The sequence below is a fragment of the Homo sapiens genome, chromosome 5, assembly GCF_000001405.40.
Source record: "Homo sapiens chromosome 5, GRCh38.p14 Primary Assembly".
Taxonomy (NCBI): Eukaryota; Metazoa; Chordata; class Mammalia; order Primates; family Hominidae; genus Homo; species Homo sapiens.
Window position 1 is genome coordinate 143024030 of NC_000005.10, and position 23613 is coordinate 143047642.

Here is a 23613-nt window from a genome sequence, read left to right on the forward strand (position 1 = left end):
GTTGCCTGTGCAACACAGTTGCTGTGGTGCATTGAGCTTGAATTACATTTAGTTGAGCTGTAATACCCCAGCTCTAGAATAGCCCTGGCTCGGAGGGCAGGGGGCTGGAGAGAGAAGAAGGGGCAGGAACAGCTTGTTTTTGCAGATATTTTATTATTTGAGTTCCCAGCTATTTTGTTTGATGAGACCCTGGCCCCCAAAGCTATGACTGGTGGTGGTACTCCTTGGACTTGCATGGATAATCAGAAGCCTTTCTGCTTGTCCTAAAAGACACTTGACAAATCTACCCTCTCTCTCAGCTAGCTTTAGACTGGCAGATGCAGCCAGTGTATGCCTCTGCCATGGCCTAATATTCCCCTTTCCCTCAGTGATGTGGGCTCTGTACTGACAGCAGGCTGCAGCCTGAGCAGGTGTGAGCCACCCGTTGCCATCCCAGTTTGGGCTTCAGCCAAGAGACAGTGAGCAGGTCCCTGGCTACATCTTTAACCCCTAAAGCCCAGTGCAAGGGGTTATTGAGACAGAGACTAAAATATTTCCCCCACTGCCACCGAGTACAGGCTTCCAGTTATTGTGGTTAATGTTTATTGAGTACATACTGGGGAGTGGGCAACATGTTCACTGCTTGATATACGTTATGTCATTTGATCCTCCTAAGAACCCTATGAGCTAGATACTATTATTGACCCCATTTACAGATGTGAAAACTGAGACTTCATTCTGAGGGCAAACTTGGTCACTCCCTGCACTGATCAGAGTTGTCAGAGCCTGCAGCTCACAATCGGCATGTAAGATTGAGCAGAGGGTAGAGTAGTGCTTAGAAGTGTTAGCTCTGGAGTATTCCACACGTGGTTTGAAATCCCAGCCTCAAGAATTACTGAGTGTGTGATTTTGAGAAATTAATTTCTCCAAGCCTCAGTTTCTTTGTCTGAAGGTGGGAATAGTTTTAATAATTAAATCTTTGGTTTTTTTGGAAGAATAAATGAGATTAGGATGGACATCCTTTGCTCAATGGTGCCTGGTATTATCGGCAATGATTAAATGTTGCGCTTTATTCTTATTACCAATAATGTCATCATTATCCAAAGCCAGAGCCCGTTTATATAAAAACGTGGCACTGTACAGTCTCTTTAAAGTTCCTCCGGGCATTGCCTTATTTGATTTTCACAACACCTGCATCTTATATGTGAGGGGAATGGGTCAGAGAGGTGAAGTATGCCCAGCTTACACAAGCAGTTTGTGGAGACACCAGGGCTCAAATCTTAGGCCTTTGATTCTGAATGCCCTCTCTTTCCCTGCCCTTCGCTGCCTCAGAGTTTGTTGTGACCAACAAATTGTTCTTAAAGCATTTCGAGGTAAGAAGACAGATAGGTAAAGGCAGGAAAGTGACCTTGATGGGCAGAGGCAGTTGGTTCTCTGTTTGAAACACTTCCACCCTCAGAAAGCTGATGATGATCTCTTTCGGTTGAGAAATCAGTGCAAAACCACCGGGCCTTAAGGCAGAAGGGAATTGAGGCCACTGTGTAATTCATTCTCAGAATGTCCAGATCCCCATGTAGGAGACAAATGGTCCTGATTAAGCTGGTCAGTGTTACTGCAGTGTGCATTAAGCCTTGCTCTTTTGCTGCTATTCTGATTTGGAATTTTAAGGTGGACTAGGAGATTGCAGAAGTAGAAACCCACAAAGAAACACTCCTTCCATCCCAGGCAGATGTATAGTCCTCAGCCTGTGCTGTGCAAGAACCTACGTGCTGTCACCCTGGATGCCTGTCTTTTGCCAAGAATTGGAACACTCTTTAGAACCTCCCCTGACTGTGGCTGAGAGCTGGTAGGTTTATTCCCATCCAGGCAGATTTTTGTTTCTGTTCCTGCTACCTATTTTACTTTACTCTATGTCTCTTTCAGCTTATTTTTCTGTGTGTTTGTTTTCAAGAAACAATGAAAAAAAAATAGATGCCTTTGTATCTGGTAGGCTAGGGAAGAAAAGTCTGACTAGCAGTATTCTTGCTTTGAGGTCAGGGTATGAATGAGATCTCTGTCAAACCTGTTTGTCTCATGCTTCCCACTGCAGGGGCCTGAACTCTAGAAGGTACCAATATATGCAGCCACCTGTCACTATTCAAGGCTCCTGGAATGTGGAGACTTTTGGCCTGTCGGCTCCTTGTGTTTTCAGCTGGTGAAAACATGGATTGTATTTATTCTTTCAGGACATATTTATTGAGATTAGTCATGAACAGGGCAGATTGTCTCTGCTCTCATGGAGCATATACAATGAAAAGAAATTGACAACAAAGAGTAAGCAAGTAGATAAAGGTATAATTTCTGGTAGAGATGAGTATTCTGCAAAAATAAGGGCTGGTGGATAGAGGATAAGGGAGAAGGGAGTGATTTTAGATACCTGGAGCAGGAAAGGTCTCTCTAAAGAGGTGACATTTGAGAAGAAATCTGAACAAAGGGAGGGAGGGAAGCGTGTCAGGAGTGGGTAGATGAGTGTTATTGATGGAGTGACCAACATGTGCAGAGGCCCTGAGGTGACGTGAGCTACTTGTGTTCTAGGAATATCAGGAAGAACAGTGGTGCCCGGATGGGAGGAGGCCCTGGGGGTGAGTGGTCAGGTAGGCTGGGGCTAGACCATGTGGGGCCAGGAGATAAGACTGCATTCTTAGTGTGAAGAGAAGTCACTGGAGAGTTGTGATCAGGTGCATGACATGAGCTGATGTATGTTTTTAAAAGATGACTCTGGCTGCTGGTGGGGAATAAACCGTAGTGGGGTGGGTGGGGGTGGGGGGTGGGGGCAAAATTGAAGCAGCTGGGAGACTGCTGCAGGCAGTCCAGGCAAAGGATGATGGCAGCTTGGATCAAGGTATTAGCAATGGATATGGTGAAGAGTAGTTAGATTCTGGATACGGTTTTAAGTTATTAGTGACAGGATTGGTTAATGGATTGGATGTGGTGTGTGAATTGGATATAGGGTGTGAGAGAAAGCAAAGATCAAGGATGATGTTACTGGAACAGAATATCTTACAGGTAGAATATGGTCCTCTCCCATCTCATTCTTTCAGCCAGGTTGAACATAGTGCATGTTTGGGGACACATTAGGACTTGAGCTCCCCAATTTATTATTTCTGTCACCTTCATGATTTTTTGTGTTTTTTTTTTTTTTGAGATGGAGTCTTACCCTGTCACCCAGGCTAGAATGCAGTGGTACAATCTTGGCTCACTGCTACCTTTACCTTCCTGGTTCAAGTGATTATCGTGCCTCAGCCTCCCAAGTAGCTGGTATTACAGGCACCTGCCACCATGCCTAGCTAATTTTTTTTTCTTTTTTTTTTTTTTTAGTAGAGACAGGATTTCATCATGTTGGCCAGGTTGGTCTCGAATTCCTGACCTCAAGTGATCCACCTGCCTCGGCCTCCCAAAGTGCTGGGATTCTGGGTATGAGCCACTGCACCTGGCTGACTTTTTAAATATATACATATACTACTTTTATTATTAATTTGCTTACTGGTTTTAAACCAATTCATCCATTTTTTACCTCAGTTTATTTAAAAAAGAAATATATTTTGCTATGTGTGATAAATCAGTAGATTTCTAATATTCATTAAAATAAAAGTATAACTGAGAAATGTTTGTGAACCTCTTGGAATCATCCCATATGCCAAAGTGGAACAATCCAGCATTCCATATTAAGATGCATAGCACTGGCAAATAGTTGTTGTCCAGCAGGGAATGTGGTATAGATACTGGCAATTGACTAAATTAAGTCATTTTTGTTTGTTTTTGGTGGTAATAATCTTAATTGCTTAGTATATAGTACAGTGTTTTTCCAAGTGGGGTTCTCGCATGTACTGATGCATAATTGCCGGGAGAGGGCCCAGAATCTGCATTTCTACAAGTGCACTCTTGTTCACTGGAGTTGAGAGCCGCTACTGGAATAGAAATGGTAGGATCCACAGAACCTGATCCACAGCCCCCAGTTCCTTTCTGACTGTCTCTAGCAGAAAGCAAAGAGTAGAAGAGGATGAGCCCAAGAGTCAGACTGAGTTAAATAAAATCTTGGTTCCACTACTCACTGATGCTATAATCTTACAGAAATTCCTTAACCTGACTGAGCGTAGGTTTCCTATCTACAAAATACGGATGATGATGATGATGATGATGATGATAAGAAAATGATGCACCTAACTGTGTAGCTCAGAGCAATGTAGTCTGTGCTCAGTAAGTGTTAGCCACGGTTATCATTGCTGTTGTTACCACTTAACGTGAGTCTGGCTTTCCTCATCATAAAAACTTAGCAGAGATATTGGGAAAATCAAATAAACTATAGTTTATTAATTTATTTTATAAACTGTAATGTATTATCCCTCATTACACTCATTAGTGTGAAAACACAGTAGTTATGAGTAAGAAGAGTAGCAAGACTTACCCTATGGGGTTATCATAAAGATAACATGAACTTGAATATGAAAAGTATTTCATCAACTGGAAGATTTCATTCAAATATTAGGATATAGTAACATTCTAATATTGGTAATACTAGGTAATATTGGTCATGATCATGTATTGAATACCAAGTAAATCCCAGTTGCTATACATTTCATTTGACCCTCGTAGCATCCTGTTGAGTTATCCCCATTATACAAGCGAGGAAGGTGAGCCTCAAAAAGGTGAAGCTAAGGTCATATCCAGCCAGAGGTAGCTGAGGCAGGGTTCTAATCCAGGTCTGTCTGGCTTTATAGCTCATTCAGTTTCCACTACCTACAATTCTGTCTGTGTGACTTTAGTTAATATTAAAGTTAGTTCACATTCCCTGAACATACCAGCCAGGGGGCAGAGAATAGTCTGGTGTAGGGATGGTGCATGGGGGTCCCTGGAGTGCTGATCTGGGATTAAAAATTGGCTGTGGGTAACCTCCACAATAGAGAATGCACACCCAGATAATTAAGAACCAGTTGGCCACCTTTCCTGGGCCCCACTGAAGCTTCTGAGAGCTGCTATCATGAGGACAGCTTTCCAGGGGCCACAGCCCAGGGAGCCCTGGCAACCCTGGGGCTTCACATGATTAGGGGAAAACAGGCAAGCCCTTCTAGTCTTCCCTCTGTGTGTGTGAAAATTGGAAATTATTCTTCAGGTGGAATTTATGTTCATTTCAATGTGGGTGGTTTTCTCAATGGCTTTTAAGGGTGTTGAAATTGATTAAATTCAGAATGAGGGAGGCCAACCAGGCTCTATAAAGAGCAAATCACATTGGAAAATTGCATAAATTTCTGTGGTGAGAACATGCCCCTGAAGTGGCCTGCTCACAGCAACTCGACAATTTCCTGTATCCATCCATCCATCCATGTTAGAAATCCTTTACTTCTCAGTTTTTTTTTTTTTTTTTTTTTTTTTTTTTTGAGGCAGGCTCTCACTCTGTTGCTCAGGCTGCAGTGCAGTGGCATGATCATAGCCCATTGTAACCTCAACCTCGTGGGCTCAAGCCATCATCCTGCCTCAGCTTCTTGAGTAGCTAGGGCCACAGGTTCACACCACCATGCCCAGCAAATTTTTTTTTAACCTTTTTGTAGAGATGAGGTTTCACCATGTTGCCCAGGTTGGTCTCAAACCCCTGGCTTCAGGCGATCTTCTCGCCTCATCCTCCCAAAGTGCTGAGATTACAGTTGAGAGCCAGGGTGCTCAACCTCAATCCTCTTGTTTTTATGCATAACCTACAGTGCTTCCAGCAAATTCCATTTCTCCCACAAAAAAGGTTTGGTTTGTTTTTTTCTTTTTAATCAAAGGAGAATTGACTAAATTTCCTGGGGAAAAAATTCAGACTAGGAAAAACTTGTTGAATACCAGCTTTAGGGACAGTAACCCTTTCTAGTTCATGTTGAGGCTAATTCAGTAGATTAGCTCCTCTCCTTTGGATGAGGATTTCCCTCCCCAGGGTTTGGTTAGAATTCCAGGGATGCAGGCATGGGGTCGTTTGGGGGCATGTCCTAGTGTGCTGTTTTTATAGACTATATATATGTGTCCATCAGTCAACTTATAGTATGGAAAGTTTTCTTCTATTCAAATTGGGCGATTTGGCCACTTCTTGCCAAATTTCTTGGTTTTCTGAATACTGAAGGTTGGAGTTGAGCAACTGCAGGTCAGTGATTTTCAGAAGAGGGGCTCTTGAGCCTGAGGAATCAGGTCTCACGGGTAGCATGATGGTCTAGCGGAGAATACTTGTGTTTTCCAGGGGCTCTCTTGACCCTCAGGCCTCAGGCCCCTCTTGACCCTCATTTAGATGGCCGAGTTAGTGTAATATGGAGAAGCCCTCCTCTCAGCCCCAGCTTCACACCACATGCAGCTCAATGATGATAATGCCTTGATGGACAAAATGCAGGAGGTCTAAAAGTGTCCAGGAAAACCTAAATTTGCTTTTGTCTCCTATGTTTCATGGCTTAGCTTGTGCCACTTTTGTTCTTCCTTTTTCTTGGGCCCATTCTTGGGCTTCGCTGCTAGGTGGCATGCCTGTATTGATACAGGAAGGAAGGAAGTGGTTAGATCAGCCTATTCATTTCTTTATTTAACCTTTATATCATCACAAAAAAAATGAGAAAGTGGAGGACCAAAAGGTTAAAAGAACTCATCTACTCTCAGAGGGTTTATATCAGTTGAAATTGAAAGGTCATTTTGACACACTGCCCCTCGGCAACTCTCTCTACCATTCATTCACTAATTTACCTATTCACGTATCCAAAATGAAAAATGACACGTGCATGCACACACTTCCAATTCATATCCATTGCTATAGTTGATGGTGAAAGATAGAGCTGTAGTAGCCAGTGAAGTAAATATACCTGGACCATTGCCCTCATGAATAAGTATTCTAGTTTGGTAGACATTTTTCACAGAATCACACATATCAGTGTAAACTTGCAGTGGTGCATCATAGTCTGAAAGAAAGGTTGATGGTCCTGTATCTGAGTGCACAATGGGGGCTTTAACCTAGGTGGGAACGTCTGAGTGAGTTTCTTGAGGAAAGGACACTTGAGGGTAATGTGAGTTGGGAGCCAAAGGCTCCCGTGCGAAATCCACAGTCTGTGCTGGGGAGAAAGCATGGTTAGTTGAATGTTCTTGAAAGACAGCCAGTGTGGCTAGGTGCTCAGAGCTGGCACAGTGGCCCCTGAAGAAGCTGGAGGGCCAGGCAGGGCCCCGTCACACACAGCTTTGTGAGCAAGTAAGGATTGGGGTTATTCTCCCAAGGGCAGCAAGGTGCTGCAGGGAGGTGATATGCTCTGATTTTGTCAAGACCATAGGGGCTGCAATGCAGAGGGCAGACAGGAACAAGAAGAATAAGAAGACCAGCCAGGAGGTTAATGCAGTCATCCTGGCAACAGATGATTGAGGTAGGGACCAGGATGGTGATGATGATGATGAAGAAATTGGACAAAATTGAGAGGCATTAGAAGAGACAATTGAGGGACTTGGTGATAATTTGGAATGGGAGGTAAGAAGTGGTGCCAAGGGTGATACTTGTGATTTTGTTATAATTTTCCGACCACCTACACACCTCTTTTTTTTTTTTTTTTAATAGCTGGGAGGAGCCAGTGAAAAGTATCTCAGATGAGGTCCCAGAAGCTTCAGGACATGGCGTTGACCTTATGGTTGTATAGCAGTGGCAGTTATGCTAAAATCCATGTCTGTCTCCCTGGCCCACCAACCTCCTCCTTTTATTTATTTTTATTTTTTGAGACAGTCTTGCCCAGGCTGGAGTGCAGTGGTGCAGTCTCGGCTTACTGCAGTCTCTGCCTCTTGGGTTCAAGCGATTCAAGCCTCCTCCTTTTAGATAAGAAAATCATTTGATTGTACCTTAGAGTTGTTCTTTTAATCCTTTTGCAGTAAGACAGCTAGTCTCTGGATGTAACCTGCCTCCAGCCTCCCGGGGTTCATATCCTAGGCATGATAGCCCAAGGCATCCTCTTCCCACGTCTGTGGTTTTCCCTAAGATTCTTCAAGGTTACTGAGCATAAACCCACCTCTCCTGTGTTCACGTGTTCTCTAGAGAACTTTGAGAAAATCGACTTTGCTACCCTAGCATGCTGCTTTCTCTGAAAGGAGACAAAGCAACAAGGCTTCAAAAGTTGAAATGAAAGTTAAGAGGATGGCACATTTCTAACCTGGGAGGCCAACCTGGATATTTGGTGCAAGCTCTGCCAGCATTCATGATGAGACAACTGTTTGGGCTGCCTCGTGTGTACACTGAGCAGAGCTGAACCTGAGGCTGAGGGAGGGAAGTAAACCAGCCGAAGCCTCAACTGCAGGATGGTGGATGTTGGCCCTGGGAGACACAGGTCCTGCGACAACTCATCACAAGTCAAATTAAGGGACTAATGCAAGCCTAGTAGATATTTAATGAGAGATTATTGCTGGAGATTATAGGGATACAGAAATTGCTAATAAATCCCTGACCTTTTCTGAGCCTTGGCTCAGTGAAAGAGCTGAATCACCTGCTTGAGGGGATTAAGGACAGCCGCCTCCATCTGGCGAGCCACTCAGACTTTTTCTGTCGTTAGCAAACGCAGCTTGGTGGTGATAGTGTTCTAAACCTTTTAGTGGGAATTTGCTTTTCAGACTAGGAGATCTCAATTAACTTAGATTATATCCCTACTGGGCAGAGATTAGGACTAATGATCTGGTTATGTGTGCACTGTAGTCCCTATCACATTATGGTACTTGGTCCATGATAAATAATAAAACCGTTGTTAATTATTAGTAATCTAATCAGCAGGAAACTCAAGTTGATGAGAGTGGAAATCAAGCTCTTTGTGTGTGTGCATGCATGCACATGTGTGTGTGTGAAAAAGAAGAGACAAAGAGAGATGGGGGTCCCCAGGCAGTGGGCAATGTGATAATTTACACTAGTTCCAGTTTAGAGGTTTAGAGCAGTGGTTGATAACCTGTATTTCTTGAATTCCTTGTTGGAGAAACAGTTGTTTGAAAGAGATTCCATTTCTTAACACAGTGTTATCTGTTTATAGGCTGTAAATAATTATCATCAATATGCAATTTTAATACATTAGAGGCTAACAGAGTTATCTTGAGCTCATAATGTTTGACTTTGCAATATGTAAATATCGTATCCATTTGAACTTAGACAACTAAGATAAACTGAGAAATACTGGATTACACATGTCATATGTAAGACCTTTATGTGTAACATCTGTGTAAGACTTAATTCCAAGAAAAGGAGTTTGCTGGTTTCAAACAAATTGGAGAATCTCTAACGCTGGGAAAACCAAAGGAGGAACATTTACTCAGATTGAATGTGGAGGTTTTGCTTTGCCATTTACCAAAAGAAGTAATTGTAGTAGTGGGTAAAATTTTGATTATTTTCTGGATGTATTTGGAAGCGTCCATTTTATTCTTTTCCAGTAAATATTACTTACCTAGAAAAGGATGCACTTCCTACAGTGCCACACACACAAAAAAAGGTTCAATGACTGATTTGCCTCTAGAGGGTTATGTCCACTAATTGGGCTGATGGCTTTACATGCATGTATCTTCTGACCACTGGGGTCATCACTGTCAGATGCTAGGTTCTTTTCAATTTTTCAAAACTTTTATCGATGTTCAGAGGGTAAAGAAATAGCCTTTGTCTAGGGCAGAAGTTCGTCAATGCCTAGAATAAGACCATGTTCACAAGCCTACTCTTGAAACATCCTAGTTCAGAATCAATGTCTGCAGCTCCCCGTAGCACTGTGTAAAATGGCAATTTTTTCTCTCCCAGACTTCTTTGATTCTCATTGCTATGAAAAGATGATCTTAAGCACCTCTCAAAAGAAGAACTAAAAGGCTTCACCTGACTATTGAATCGTAGTTATAAACATTTTGGGAAACTCCTTTAGCACAAAACGTAATTCCCCGTCTGACAAATGCTTTCCAGTAGGCTCTATTGTGACTACTGTATAAAGGAATGAAAATCCTCCCTGCACATGAAAAGATTCCCAACATTATTAGTCATTAGGGAAATACAAGTCAAAACCACAATGAGATACCTCTTGACACCCACTAGGATGGCTATAATAAAAAAGACAATAACAAATGTTGGCAAGGATTAGGAGAAATTGGAACCCTCGTACATTGCGGGTAGGAATGAAAACTGGTGCAGCTGCTTAGAAAACAGTTTGGCAATTCCTCAAAAAGTTAAGCACGGTGTCATTCTGTGACCCAGCGATGCCACTCCTAGGTGTATACTCAAAAGAAATGAAAATACCAGTTCACACAGAGACTTGTACACAGATGTTCATAGTAACATTATTCACAACAGCCAAAAAGTGGAAATGGCCCAAATATCTATCAGCCGATGAATGGATAAATAAAATGTGATATATCTGGACCGTGGAATATTATTTAACCATAAAAATAAGTGAAGTACTGATGCTACAACATGGCTAGGGCTTGAAAACATTATGTTAAGTAAAAGGAGCTAGACATAAAAGACCGCATCGTGTATGATTCCCATTTATGTGAGGTGTTCACAATAGGCAAATCCATAGAAAAGGAATTCTTCCCACAGCTGGGGGAAGGGAAGACATGGCTAATGTGTATGGGTTTTTGGGGTAGGGAGGAGGGCAAAAATGTTCTGGAGTTAGATAATAGTGATTAATACACAGCTTTGTAAATACTCTAGAAATTGCTGAATTGTATAGTTAAAATGGGTAAACTTATGGTATATGAAGTATATACCAAGAAAGCTGTTATTTAAAAAAAAAAAATTCCTCCCCTGGATTCCAACAGGTATTTGGCCTCTGTATTATAGGTTGTTATTAAATTTGAAAAATGCCTGCCGCATGAGTTGAGTTTTATTTGGAAGAATTATTTTAATTGGGCTTTCAGCCTGTAATCAGAATCTTGAGATGCCATAATTTGCAGAGCAAATACTTTATTTATACTGGGAAAAACAAGGGATTGGGTTAATAGGCTCCTTACCATTTTAAGGGAATAAAAAGAATGGTTTGTATAGCAAGTAATCTCCAGGGAGAAAAACATTGTTTTTCTGTTTCTTTTCTGGTACTTTACTTACTATCCTAGAGGCTGAGTGTGTTTGTAATAAGCATCACTAAGCAATAAGTATGTATGTAAGTATAGGAACTATTAATATTTCAGTTTGGGAAGAGTTGTTTTAGGAATTAGCATTCCTTTTTAGTTTGATTTTGGGAATTCTTGGTGATTAAAAAATGTTTTAAAATCTTCAGCACAATTCACAATTGCAGAAACGTGGAACCAGCCCAAATGCCTATCAGTCAACAAGTGGATAAAGAAACTTTGGTGTATATATATGATGGATTACTACTGAGCTATAAAAAGGAATGATTAATGGCATTTGCTGCTACCTGGATGAGACTGGAGACTATTATTCTAAGTGAAGTAACTCAGGAATGGAAAACCAAACATTGTATGTTCTCACTCATAAGTGGGAGCTAAGCTATGAGGATGCGAAGGCACAAGAATGACACAATGGACTTTGGGGACGTGGGGGAAAGGATGGGAAGGGGGTGAGGGATAAAAGCCTACAAATAGGGTGCTGTGTATACTGCTTGGGTGATAGGTGCATGAAAATCTCACAAGTCACCACTAAGGAACTTATCCATGTAGGCCAGGTGCGGTGGCTCACGCCTGTAATCCCAGCATTTTGGGAGGCCGAGGCGGGTAGATCACCTGAGGTCAGGAGTTGAAGACCAGCCTGGCCAACATGGTGAAACTCTGTCTCTACTAAAAATACAAAACTTAGCCAGATGTGGTGGTGGGTGCCTGTAATCCCAGCTACTAGAGAAGCTGAGGCAGGAGACTCGCTTGAACCCAGGAGGCGAAGGTTGCAGTGAGCCAAGATCATGCCACTGCACTCCAGCTTGAGCGACAGAGTAAGACCTTGTCTCAAAAAAAAAAAAAAAAAAAAAAAGAAGAACTTACCCATGTAACCAAACACCACCTGTTCTCCAATAACCTATGGAAATAAAAAAATAAAATGTTCATTTTATCTAAGTTTACCCATATACGCTAAGAATTAAAGAAAGATTCAGTTTGGATTAGATCCAAGGTGAGTTCAGGTTCTGCTCACTTCTCAAATATTACAAGTTTATTACTTTCCCTGAGATGACCGCAAATCATCTATAAATACTTGCTTTTCTACTTTCTGCCATTTTCTTTTCCACTCTGACCATTAAGTGGTAGAATGCCTTGTCCACTGTCCTAAGAAGGTCAAAGATGAACCCATTCTTAAAGATTATCACCGGGTAACCAAAACATGGGGGTGAATTTTAGGGAATTTCCAGCCTTGTTGTCAGGTTAGAAGTTTCCAGCCTTGTGTGGTTCTCTGCTGTGGAAGAAGTTGCTGCTGTTGATCATTTATTTTCTGGGTGAGAATCCTGTCACCACTTGCTCATTTCCCCCTAGAGGATGGCCCCACTGCCTTCATGCTGCTTCCTTTGGTAGTGTCTTTGTTCTTGGCTCTTTTAATTTTCCTCTGAATCATTTTTCTTCTTTTATTCTTTGTTCTATTTTTCCTTTCTTCTAGTCACCTGAGCAGGATTATACTTAACTCAGGGACACGTTTAAGGCAGTTTGATGGTATGGGCTCTAGAGCAAGTCTCCATGTATTGGCTCTGCATCTTTGGTCAAGATACTTAGTTTTACCAAGCCTCAGTTTCTTCATCTGTAATATGGGCTAGTGATAATGTCAACCTGGAGGACTTACTGAGATCAAGTGAGAAAATCTATTTTAAGCACTTACCCAACATTTATAGACCACTTAATTTGTGCTTTTTGAAGGAGACCGCAATTAGTTCTACAGCTTCTGTTAATAGCAGAGCAATGTAAAGGTACCTGTCACCTTATGCTGCAGTTTCTTCACCTGTAAATTGAAGATAATTTTACAGGTTACTACAGCTTGAGGTTACTATGAGAACTAAATGAGATACTACATGCAAAGCACTTAAAACCATACCTAGCATATGGAAAGCTCTCAATCAATGCCAGCTATTATTATTATTATTATGTTATTCCTGTACTGTTATTGGGAAAAACTAAAAGGATATGTGACCACAGCATGCGATTGATTCATCCTGGTTTGGTTAAGCCCTATCCTGAGGTTGATTTCCATGGCTAGCAACTTGACTGTCCTTCTCTTGCTCTTTCAGCTGCGCAGTTGGACAGCATTGGCTTCAGCATAATCAGGAAATGCATCCATGCTGTGGAAACCAGAGGTAAAGTAGTTTAACAGATGGCATTGTTCTCATAGAAGGTCACGCATCTGGTGAGGAGTCAGACCTGCTACCTGCTGTTTCCTGACTTTAAGTGACTCATTAGCTCCCCAAGTGCCATTGTCAGTGGATTTCCACAAGTCTTGTTGGTCTCAAGCAGGAGGTCCTAACTGATTTTGTGTCACCAACTTCTTTGGCTGATCAGAAGAATGTGTTAAATATCTAAAATACGTATGATTATAGAAACCAGTTACTGAAATTCGATTTTTAAAATATTAAAAAACACAGGGTATCATGATATATGTGTTTCTTTGTTAACACTTTATAAGTGATAGTGGTGGGTCTGATAACTGACATAATTTGGGAGCAGTGATATTTCAAGATATCCATAATAATTGTAATGTGTTATGAAAATATCTGTGATTTCTGACCAAGTTGCAGGTACCGCTAATGCTCCTGTAATTTGTTGCTTACATCCATAAAGGAAGGAAATGCTTAATGTCAGTTATAGGTTAGTGAAGATAAAGATGTAATTGTTTTCCTGTCTAAGTTCACAGACACCCTAAATTTTCTCTGGCAGACATCTTGGGGTCTGTGAACCCAAGATGCTCTGGGGAGCTAGTCCCTGGGGACCACCCAGGTAGAGAAAAGGGGTCAGGCCCATGTTCACACTGATCTTTCCCAGGTCTGTGGGAGCAGGACATTAAGATCAAGGAGGCTGGTTCATCCTGATGGTCTCCATCCCTTCTTCAGAGACAGCCACAAAGGAGATTCCTCAGTCCCAGCAGTTTGAAGCTTTGAGTTTGCTGGTCTGTTGTACCGCTGAGAAAAGCTATTAACCATCTTTCCACTGGATTTGATTTGAACCGTTGTCAGAGATGTGAATCTTATTTACTCACAGCCTCTCAGCCTACCAGCCCTTTTTAAGTAGTGGAAAGAAATTCTCTCTTTTAAAGCAGGATTCATAACTTGCCAGTTGAGAAATATACACTTTTTTTTCCATAAGGACTGTGAGGCATTAAGTAGAGGGAAGAGAGAGAATTTAAAAACCTACCCTTATGTATACTGTCAAAAGATATTTTTTCCAAAACAGTTGTAATGTATGGAAACATTTTTTAAAATGTTCAGTTATTTCCCCTGTACCTCTCTTAAATAAAGAATTAAGGCATCTTGTAAAGGTATGTAAGATATATCCAGAGAATATAAAGTAGAAGTAGGTGACATTTCTGGGAATTGGTCTTGAGGAAATAAGGATATGGGCCAGATTGAGCCATAAGGATGTTTACACCGTGGTGATGTTAAGGTACAAAATCAGAAACGGGCCAAATGTCTCAAAAATGGGTTAAATCAACAGTGGTACATCTGTGTAGTAAAAAACTGTGAATCACTGACAATGCAATGGAAATACATTTTTTGACATACGGCCTTTTTTTTTTTTTTTTTTTTTTTTTTTTTTGAGACAGAGTCTCTTTCTGTCCCCAGGCTGGAGTGCAGTAATGCAGTCTCGGTTCACTGCAAACTCCAACTCCCTGGTTCAAGGGATTCTTCTGCCTCAGCCTCCTGAGTAGCTGGGATTACGGGCACACACCACCACGTCCAGCTAATTTTTGTATTTTTAATAGAGATGGGGTTTCACCATGTTGGCCAGGATGGTCTCGATCTCCTGATCTTGTGATCCACCCACCTCGGTCTCCCAAAGTGCTGGGATTACAGACATATGGCATTTTAAAAATTATTTATAATACGTGAAAAATGCAAGTTACAAAGCAGCTGCTCAGTATGAGCCCGTTCTGGGAGCAGTGGGGAGAGGAGTGGTCATATTGCACAGGTTTCATTGTGTTCTCAGTGGCTGTCTGCTGATTTTTACTGTTTCCCTTTGACTCATCTATTTACCTTAACTGTAGTTTCTAAGTTTTTTTGAAGTGTTCATTACTAAGGTAATTTTTCTTTTTTCTTTTTCTTTGGAGGGGACAGAGTCTTGCTCTGTTGCTTAGGCTGGAGTGCAGTGGCTCAATCTCTACTCACTGCAACCTTGGCCTCACAGGTTCAAGCGATTCTCCTACCTCAGCCTCCTGAGTAACTGGCATTACAGGCGCCTGCCACCATGCCCAGCTAATTTTTGTACTTTTAGTAGAGATGGTTTTACCACATTGGCCAGGCTGGTCTTCAACTCCTGACCTCAAGTGATCTGCCCACCTTGGCCTCCCCAAAGTGCTGGGATTACAGGCATGAGCCACTGTGCACGGTCTAACTTTCAACAGGAGTTTTAATTTTTTTTTTTAAATTTAAAAGAAAAGACCGAGAATAAAATGTACAGAGTTTAAAGGTAGAGGCACAAAAATGGAGCCAAAAGCGAGTCTAAAAAAAAAAAATCTCTTTCCCCAGTAAAGTTCATATACTTGCTTGAGCTGGGCCACCTATTCGTCTCTCAGTCTTCAGCAGCCAAAATCAAGAGAGAAACCTAATCATTTAAAACTGTTCACAGAGTCTGTAGTAAATGCAAACTGGTAGCTCAGGAGGACAACTTTTTCTGATGTAAAACTACAAAATAAATACAATAAGTAGGAGAAGAAGAGGTGTACAAGTTCCTCTTCCCCCTCTAAAATGAAAATGGAAATGATGTATTTTAACTTCTACGAAAGTCTTCATTGAGCACAAAGAAGAAATAAGGACAGTATGAGTTAGGTGCCATTTTAGCGTAAATAGTTGAAAAAAGTGGGTATCTCCCGATTGCAGTGTGTGTATGTGCATACGTATTTATGGTGATCAGAGATGAACAGACTTCCCATACTCTCTGGGATTTGACAATTGTCCAGTGGGAGGTGGGATTGTGTAAAGTCCCGGGAAAGCACAAGGATAGAAGAAGTAGAGACACTTAAGACTTTTCAAGCCCACAAGCTGACATGTTACTGAATCAAGTTTCTGCCACTGAGTAACTTGGGACCCATCACTTAGTTTTTGAAGTTTTTGACCAGGGACTCCTAGTCCGTGAATCATGCAGAATGATGTACATGATTTTACAGGTCCTTTTTAGCTGTAAAATTCTATCATTCCAGACCACTTCTTTTTATTCATTAGTTCCATGTCTACATAGGTCTTGTTGAAAGTACTGCAGAATTGGTCCTTTCCTGAGTTTCTTTTGGAAGATTGTGTTTTGGCCCCCAAGTATTTTATACTGGCCTTGATGGAGTATAATCTCGTGTTTTGTTTATTATCATGTACCATATACTGATCCAGGGACTGAGGATGTAATGGTGAACAGGACACAATTACTGTTTACATTCTATTGAGAATGTAACAGAAAAAACAAGTAAATAATCAAATAACAAACATAATTTCAGATATTGTTAACTGCTATAAAGAAAGAAAACAGGGTAAGGGAATGACCAGTAATGTTGATTGTGGATTGCATTAGATTGAAGCGGTTGCATTTAAGCTGAGATCTGAATGATGAAAAGCTCTGGGAGAAGAGCAGTCCAGGTAGAGGAAACAGCTGGAGCAAAGGCTATGAGGTGGGGCCATGAGCTTGGCATGTTGAGGTGACAGGAAGGCCAGTGTGTGGAGCAGAATGCATGTGGTCAATGATGCAATCAGAGGTAGTCAGTGCTCGATAGTATAGGCCTTATAGGCCATTGTAAGTAGTTTTGATTATGGTCTAAGTGCAATGGGAAGCTATTGGAGGGTTTTAAGAGAAGAGGTGATATGAACTAATTTGCACTTTAGACAGTTCACTTTGGCTACTGGTTGAAGAATGGACATCAGAGGAATAAAATAGGAAGCTGGAGCTCTATTACTTGAGAGGGGTCAGATATGATGGGCCTGGAACTAATAGGAGAAAAATCATTTCAAGTCACCTGGTCTAAATTGCCTTCTTTTGTAAATGGTACAGTGGTGATCTAATCCATGTATTTAAATGAACAGAAACACTGCAGTGGATTAGTTTTTGATTTTTTGTTTAGATGTTTAATTTAAAAGTAAACCCTTACTAGTCTAATTGTACAGTTCCTTGGGTTGAAATAAAGGTGGTCTTTTTTGATAAAGAATATTTGTATTATAAATGAATGGATCTTCTAATTTCTCAGTCTTGGCTAACATTCCTTAAAATTAAAAACATTCTTACACCTCCGTATTTTCATTTTTTGTGTAAAAATAGATTATAAAGTGTCTTTTTCTGTTGTATGAATTTTTAATGTCATTTTTGGCATTTTAATTTTAAAAATTGGTTAAATATGACATATTTAAAAGTGTACATTTTGCATCTTTTAGAACTCTTCAGATGCTGCCTTTGGCAAGAGAAAGGAAAGCTTCTTTCGCCGCTGATGACTGAACTAACATGAGGGCTGAAGTGTGCAGCACATCCGTGAAATCCTAGACAGCTGTACCAAATCCCACTCGTTTGCTAAGAGCTGAGCTGAGTGACAGGGGACTTTAATTAGAGCAGCTTTTAGGAGGACTGAGAAAATGAAAAAAAAAAAAAAAAAAAGTGCATTTGGCTGGATTGGCCTGACTTGTGTTCTGACGTGCCTCTAATTAAATCATCACTGTTTCTTTCCTCAGGGATCAACGAGCAAGGGCTGTATCGAATTGTGGGTGTCAACTCCAGAGTGCAGAAGTTGCTGAGTGTCCTGATGGGTGAGTGCCGCAGTGGCTCTGCTAGGCAGGTCCCTGGATGGGGGGCCCACTCTGAAAAGTCACCAGGTCTGTGAGTAGATACAGCCTGTGGCAAAGGAATCGGGGTGTCCGTGAGCTGTCACCTAGAAGTCATCTGCCCCATCGGTCAGTTGTCATGGCTTCAGACACTGCTGGGAAAGGTTCTGAGTAGGACTGGACAAAATAAAAAATGCCAGGGCCCAGACACCACACCCTCTCTGTCTGTAGGCTCAGTGCTCTGGTCCAAGTGGCACTCAGTCACTCATGTGACCACCACACCCTACTCTGTCTTTAATAGCTTATGACTCCCTCCGTTCTCTTTTGGGACAGGTATTTAGTGGGACACACCCAATGCCCAAGGAAAGGCATCATTCTGGGCTCCAGAGGACCTCAGAGTTCATGTTCCTGATACTGAGCAGGTGTCATGTAACTCTCAGATAAAATATATATAACCAGAGAAATCTTCTGATCCTCTTTGCTTCTAGATTTCAACCGAATACCTGTCACTTGAGCAGCAGAACCTCCTTTGCCACTGGCTGATATAAATACAAAGCAGTGTCTCCAAATGTGCAGTATTTGAATCAAAAGCCCATGAGTCCATGAGCCAAATTTGCTTAGGCTGCAGATTTCCTGTATTTTTAGATATGAGTGCAGCCAGCCTCCATGAATCACATGGACCTAAATGGCAAACAGATCAGGTTTCACAGAGGCTGTTATTCCTCCCCATGGAAGCCCTGGCTTGTAGAGAGGGACTATCACTTGGGGTACGCAGCTCAGTGTTTTGGACAGGGACAGTTCTTGTGTTAGTATTTGTAATTTCTTTTGCCATCCCACTTTCTGAAAATAGCTTTCTTGTGTAAAGAAATCTCTTCTCTCATGTTGGCCAGAATGACTGTCTTCACCTCTTTTTGAGAGAGTCATTCACTTCTTGTAGCCAAAACCCTATTGTATTGCTAGTTAGAGTGAGATCTGTTGTTTAAAACTATGATTATTTGCGAGGTACTCTAGCAACGAGTATCTGGGTTTTTTTTGGTTAAGATTTGAAATATGGTTAGTTTTTGTAAAAATTAAACTTTTCATTTTGAGATAATTGTAGATTTACATTCGGTTGTAAGAAATAATATAGAGATCCTGTGTACCACTTACTCAGTCTCCTCTAAAGGTAACATCTTGCAAAACACAATTTTAATATCACAACCAAAATATTGGCATTAATTTAGTCAAGATGCAGAACACTTCCATCACTAAAAGGATTCCTTGTGATGTTGTACAAGCACATACCTCACTTCCCACCTTGCACCCTGTGCCTAACCCCTGGCGATCAGCAATCTGTTCTCTATTTCTATAATTTTGTCATTTCAAGATTATTATTTAAATGGAATTATACAATACAGAACCTTTTGGGATTGGCATTGTTTTTCAATCAGTGTAATTTTCTCAAGATTTATTTTTGCTGTTCCATGTATTAATAGTTCTTTTTTATTGCTGAGTAATATTCCATTGTATGGATGTACTGCACTTTGTCGAACCATTCATTTATTGAAGGGCACCTGAGTTGTTTCCAGTTTGGGGCAATTATGATAAAGCTTCTATAAATTTTCATATATAGTTTCTGTGTGAGCATATATTTGTTCCTCTGGGATAAATGTCCGAGTGTGCAAATTGCTGGGTTGTATGGCGATAGGGTCAATTTTTGAGAATTTCTAATATAAGGAAGAATTAAGAGTCTAATAGGTGTCAATCCTTAGTTTTTCATTTCTGACCAGAGCTGCAAACATTTGTGGGGTGTCTGCTGCTTAGAACAGATGTCAGGTGCTAGAGATTAAATTTTAGAAAGAGCTGTTCCTTTTCTGTAAGGAGTCCTGATAGGGTGAAATATGTGTGTATATGAAAGCTGTAATGTAAAGTATGATATTCATGCTTAATCTGTGCTGGGTCTAGAAGATTGAGTAGTGTAGTGAAGGAGAGAGTAGAAGAATAATTCCAATTCATGAAGTATTCTGAACAAAGGGTCTATGGTGGCTACAGCAAAGGGTATTGATTCTATGATTATTATTTTAATATTTCTGAAAGACTTAACTTGAGGCTGGGACAGGAGAGTTTTAAAGCTGAATAGCTAAGGTGGTCTTTTTTGTTGAGGAACTTGAATACTGAGCCAAGGTGTTTGGGGTTTTTTCTATAGGAAGTAAGAAACTATTAAAAGTTCTCAATAGTGGGATTATATCCATTATAATGCTTTTGCACACAAAAGTGTCAAGAAGACAATTCAGAATAGTTTACAAGGAAAAAAAAAGCATCTATTTGCTCATATAACTGGTAAATCCAAGACAGAAGCATGGCAGAGTCAGGGATGCCAATGATGTCTTTACTTTTGCTAGATCCTTTGCCCCTTCCTTCTTCTGGCTTCTCATGTTCTCTGACCTCTTCTGGGCTTGGTGTGGCTTTGTTCTCTGTGGGAGTGTCCCAGACAGGTTCAGCCTCTGCAGTCCTTGGAGCCTGTGGTCACTGAGAAGAAAGTGCCTTTCTTGACCATGTTGGCAGAAGGCTCCAGCGAGGACTTTGCTTGGTCAGTATGGGGCCATTCACATGATTCGTTTCTCAATCTCAGACCAGTCACATGGCCCATGGCAGATGGCCTGGATCCTGTGCGTATGTTGGGGGATGTGGGGGATGGGGTGGACAGTTGGGGTGGGGACGGGGTTAGTCCCTGAAACCCAGTGGACTGAGCAGGATTATTGATAGGAAGATGGAGAAGTGCTTTCCTGAAATAATGGCTGCTGTTAGCTTTTTTAAAAAAGTATATCTAATACAGATGTAACAATATCAGATTCTAGCATTAGGAGCATATTGTTGGCTCCAATTTGGAGCATGTGTTTGATTATGGAAAGACATGGAGGAGGAAGTTGGTTGTAATAGATCAGGCAAGGCAAACCCTATCAAAGACTGAACTAAATAGGTGCTCTGAAGTCAGGAAAAAAGGACACACTCATAGTGAGTATACAGAGAGAATCAACAGGACTTTTAACCAACTTGATATGGGGGAACAGAAGGGGCAGAGAGATTTCAAAGATGACAGATTATTATGTAAGATGACACTAATGAAAAGAAATATGACATTTTAGACTGGTTTGCTAATCTAAAAAAGAAGCACTTTAGCTCAGTTGTGTTAAGCAAAAGAGTGGTTATGAAAGGATCTTGTTTTTATCACTTTTCTTAGTGGCCTTCACACAAGATATTTGTCTTGTTCTCTTCCTTGATTTTCCTGGGGATAGAGAAAATAATCATGAACATTTGAGAAATGTCATGAAAAAGTAATAACTAGCAGCTGAAAGTCACGAGGGCAGCTGCCTCTGCCAGGAGGACATTACAGACAGACTGGAATCTAATCTGAGATCCAACCAGAGCTGCAAGATGACCACAGTGTAACATCTAATTGAAAGTTGAGAATGATATCCATGATTCTCCCTACGAGTTAAATAAGTTTGAATCTCTCAATTACGGAATCACCAGGGCTCTAGACCCCTTTGAAGGGGGAGCTTCATCTTCTCTTTTGTGAACATGCCCACAACTTCATCAATTCTTGGTACTGGTAGTGTCTGGGCTAGCCAAGAGTATAAAATAAACATGGCACCTGTGCTCCAAAACCTTCCCCTGAGATGGCTGGGCCGAGTGAACCTTTCATTAACTATTTCTTTATTATACATTCATTGGATGCTTATTATGTGCCAGGTACTGTGTAAGATTTGGTTTATCTGTCCAAGGCTCTCAAAAGTGGAGTAGTATGTTTTGGTTATGGAAAATATGGCTGGTCAGGTGCGGTGGCTCATGCCTATAATCCCAGCCCTTTGGGAGGCCGAGGCAGGTGGATCACCTGAGGTCAGGAGGTCGAGAGCAGCCAGGCCAACATGGTGAAACCCCATCTCTACTGAAAATACAAAAATTAGGCTGGGTGTGGTGGCTCACACCTGTAATCCCAGCACTTTGGGAGGTCAAGGTGAGCGATCACCTGAAGTCAGGAGTTCGAGACCAGCCTCGCCAAATAGTGAAACCCTTTCTCTACTAAAAATACAAAAAAATTAGTCAGGTGTGGTGGTGCACACCTGTAATCCCAGCTACTTGGGAGGCTGAGGCAGGAGAACTGCTTGAACCCGGGAGGCGGAGGTTGCAGTGAGCCAGGACTGCGTCATTGCACTCCAGCCTGGGCAACAAGAACGAAACTCCATCCCCAAAAATAAAAAATACAAAAATTAGCCGGGTGTGGTGGTGTGCACCTATAGCCCTGCTACTCAGGAGGCTGAGGCAGGAGAATCCCTTGAACCCAGGAAGCGGAGGTTGCAGTGAGCCAAGATCACACCACTGAACTCCAGCCTGAATGACAGAGCAAGACTCAGTCTCAAAAAAAAAGGCTGAGAATTAAGCAAAACCAGAGACTTTTTTTGAATTACTTCGAGTTTATTTTTTTGTACTCTTAATACATTGGAGGACTTTGGGTTGGAAGAGGAATATGAGAGCCAGTGCTTTGAGAATGTCTTCTTTGTACTGATCAGGATTCCTTAAGAAAGCTTGCTAAAATTCCTCATAGCAAGTGCAGTGTGGCTTTGTACTAGTGTCCTACCAAGAGCTACCCTTGATCCCTTCCTCCTAGCAACAGAAGTCATTAGTCTTTAGAGAGTGAAAAGGACTCTCAAAGACTTGCAGATTCCTAGAAATAGAATGCCTTCTGTGTGTCTGGGGGTTTTCCCCCCTGAATATTAAGTAAAGATAAATCTTTCCAAATTTTAGCCCAACTTTTTTATCTATACTATTTAATATGTAAATCAGCTATATACTTGTTCAGTGTATGTCTATCTCTCTTCCTGTCTCTCCGTACATATTTTAAATAAATTTTTTCCTGATGAAAAGTTATGAGTGGTCATTGTGAAAATTTGGAGGAATACAAAAAGTAGAAGAAAATAACAGTTCTATATACTAGAGTTAACCTTTATTAACTGTTTTGTCATATGACATCAAAATGTTATATTATTACCTGTTAAATTTAGTATAGTATAGTATACTAAAACAGTATGTTTACAAAATTGAACTCACTGTGCAGATATTACAGGTTTTATTCATGTAACACTATAGAGTGTCTATTGTCACATGTCATTCAAGTTCTTCTAGAGTGTGATTTTCTCAGGCACATATTGCACAGATGCTCTATAACTTTTTAATCAGTCCCCTGTTCTTGGATACATGGGCTAATTGCAATTCTTCATCATTCTAGAAAGCACTCAGGTAAATATCCCCATAGAGGCAGGACAGAGGGTAAACATCCCCATTGAGGCAGCAGAGACTAAGAGCATGCATTTTGAGATTAGACAAGTTACAGTTCCACCGCTTATTTCTTTCACTTAGACAAATGATTCACACTGGTCTAGTCATCTATTTCTGCATCTGTAATAATGGCTCCTGCCTCCATAGTAATGTGAGGATGGAATGAAAAGATGCTTGTGGGTTGCTGAGTCCAGAGCCTTCACATGTTAAATATAAAATGTTAGCTGTTATAATTTTTATATGCATCTCTAATTATTTCCTCAGGACTTATTTTAAGATGTTGAATTGCTGGGTCAAGGTATGTACGTGTTTTCAAGGCTCTTAAATGATATTCCCAAGTGTGTAGTTAGCAAAGTCTGAGGGAGACTATGCTACACCCCACATCTTTGCCATGCTGTGTATTACTGTTTTGCATATAAAT

The 23613-nt window shown here is 41.0% G+C and overlaps 1 protein-coding gene across 40 annotated transcripts in view, besides 1 other annotated feature; it reads left to right on the forward strand.

The window, feature by feature from the left end:
- ARHGAP26 (Rho GTPase activating protein 26) overlaps positions 1 to 23613 on the forward strand; it is a 458635-nt gene that overhangs the window by 253653 nt on the left and 181369 nt on the right. For 37 of the 40 annotated variants that reach the window (NR_146198.2, XR_007058592.1, XR_007058593.1 and 34 more), the window contains 2 exons: positions 13167 to 13232; positions 17787 to 17861. Coding sequence is in view for 37 of the 40 variants with exons in the window: in NM_015071.6 (NP_055886.1) it covers positions 13167 to 13232; positions 17787 to 17861 (141 nt within the window). In the remaining 3 variants the exon portion in view is untranslated. The remainder of the gene's footprint in view (positions 1 to 13166; positions 13233 to 17786; positions 17862 to 23613) is intronic. The other 3 variants (XM_047416976.1, XM_047416981.1, XM_047416969.1) reach the window with 1 other exon arrangement.
- Positions 12884 to 13644: an enhancer, noted in NCBI's record as "OCT4-NANOG-H3K27ac hESC enhancer chr5:142416478-142417238 (GRCh37/hg19 assembly coordinates)". NCBI's record gives its function as "activates a minimal SCP1, AML or CMV promoter by ChIP-STARR-seq in naive and primed H9 embryonic stem cells {active_cell/tissue: H9 hESC(naive and primed)}" and the evidence as "EXISTENCE:reporter gene assay evidence [ECO:0000049][PMID:30033119]".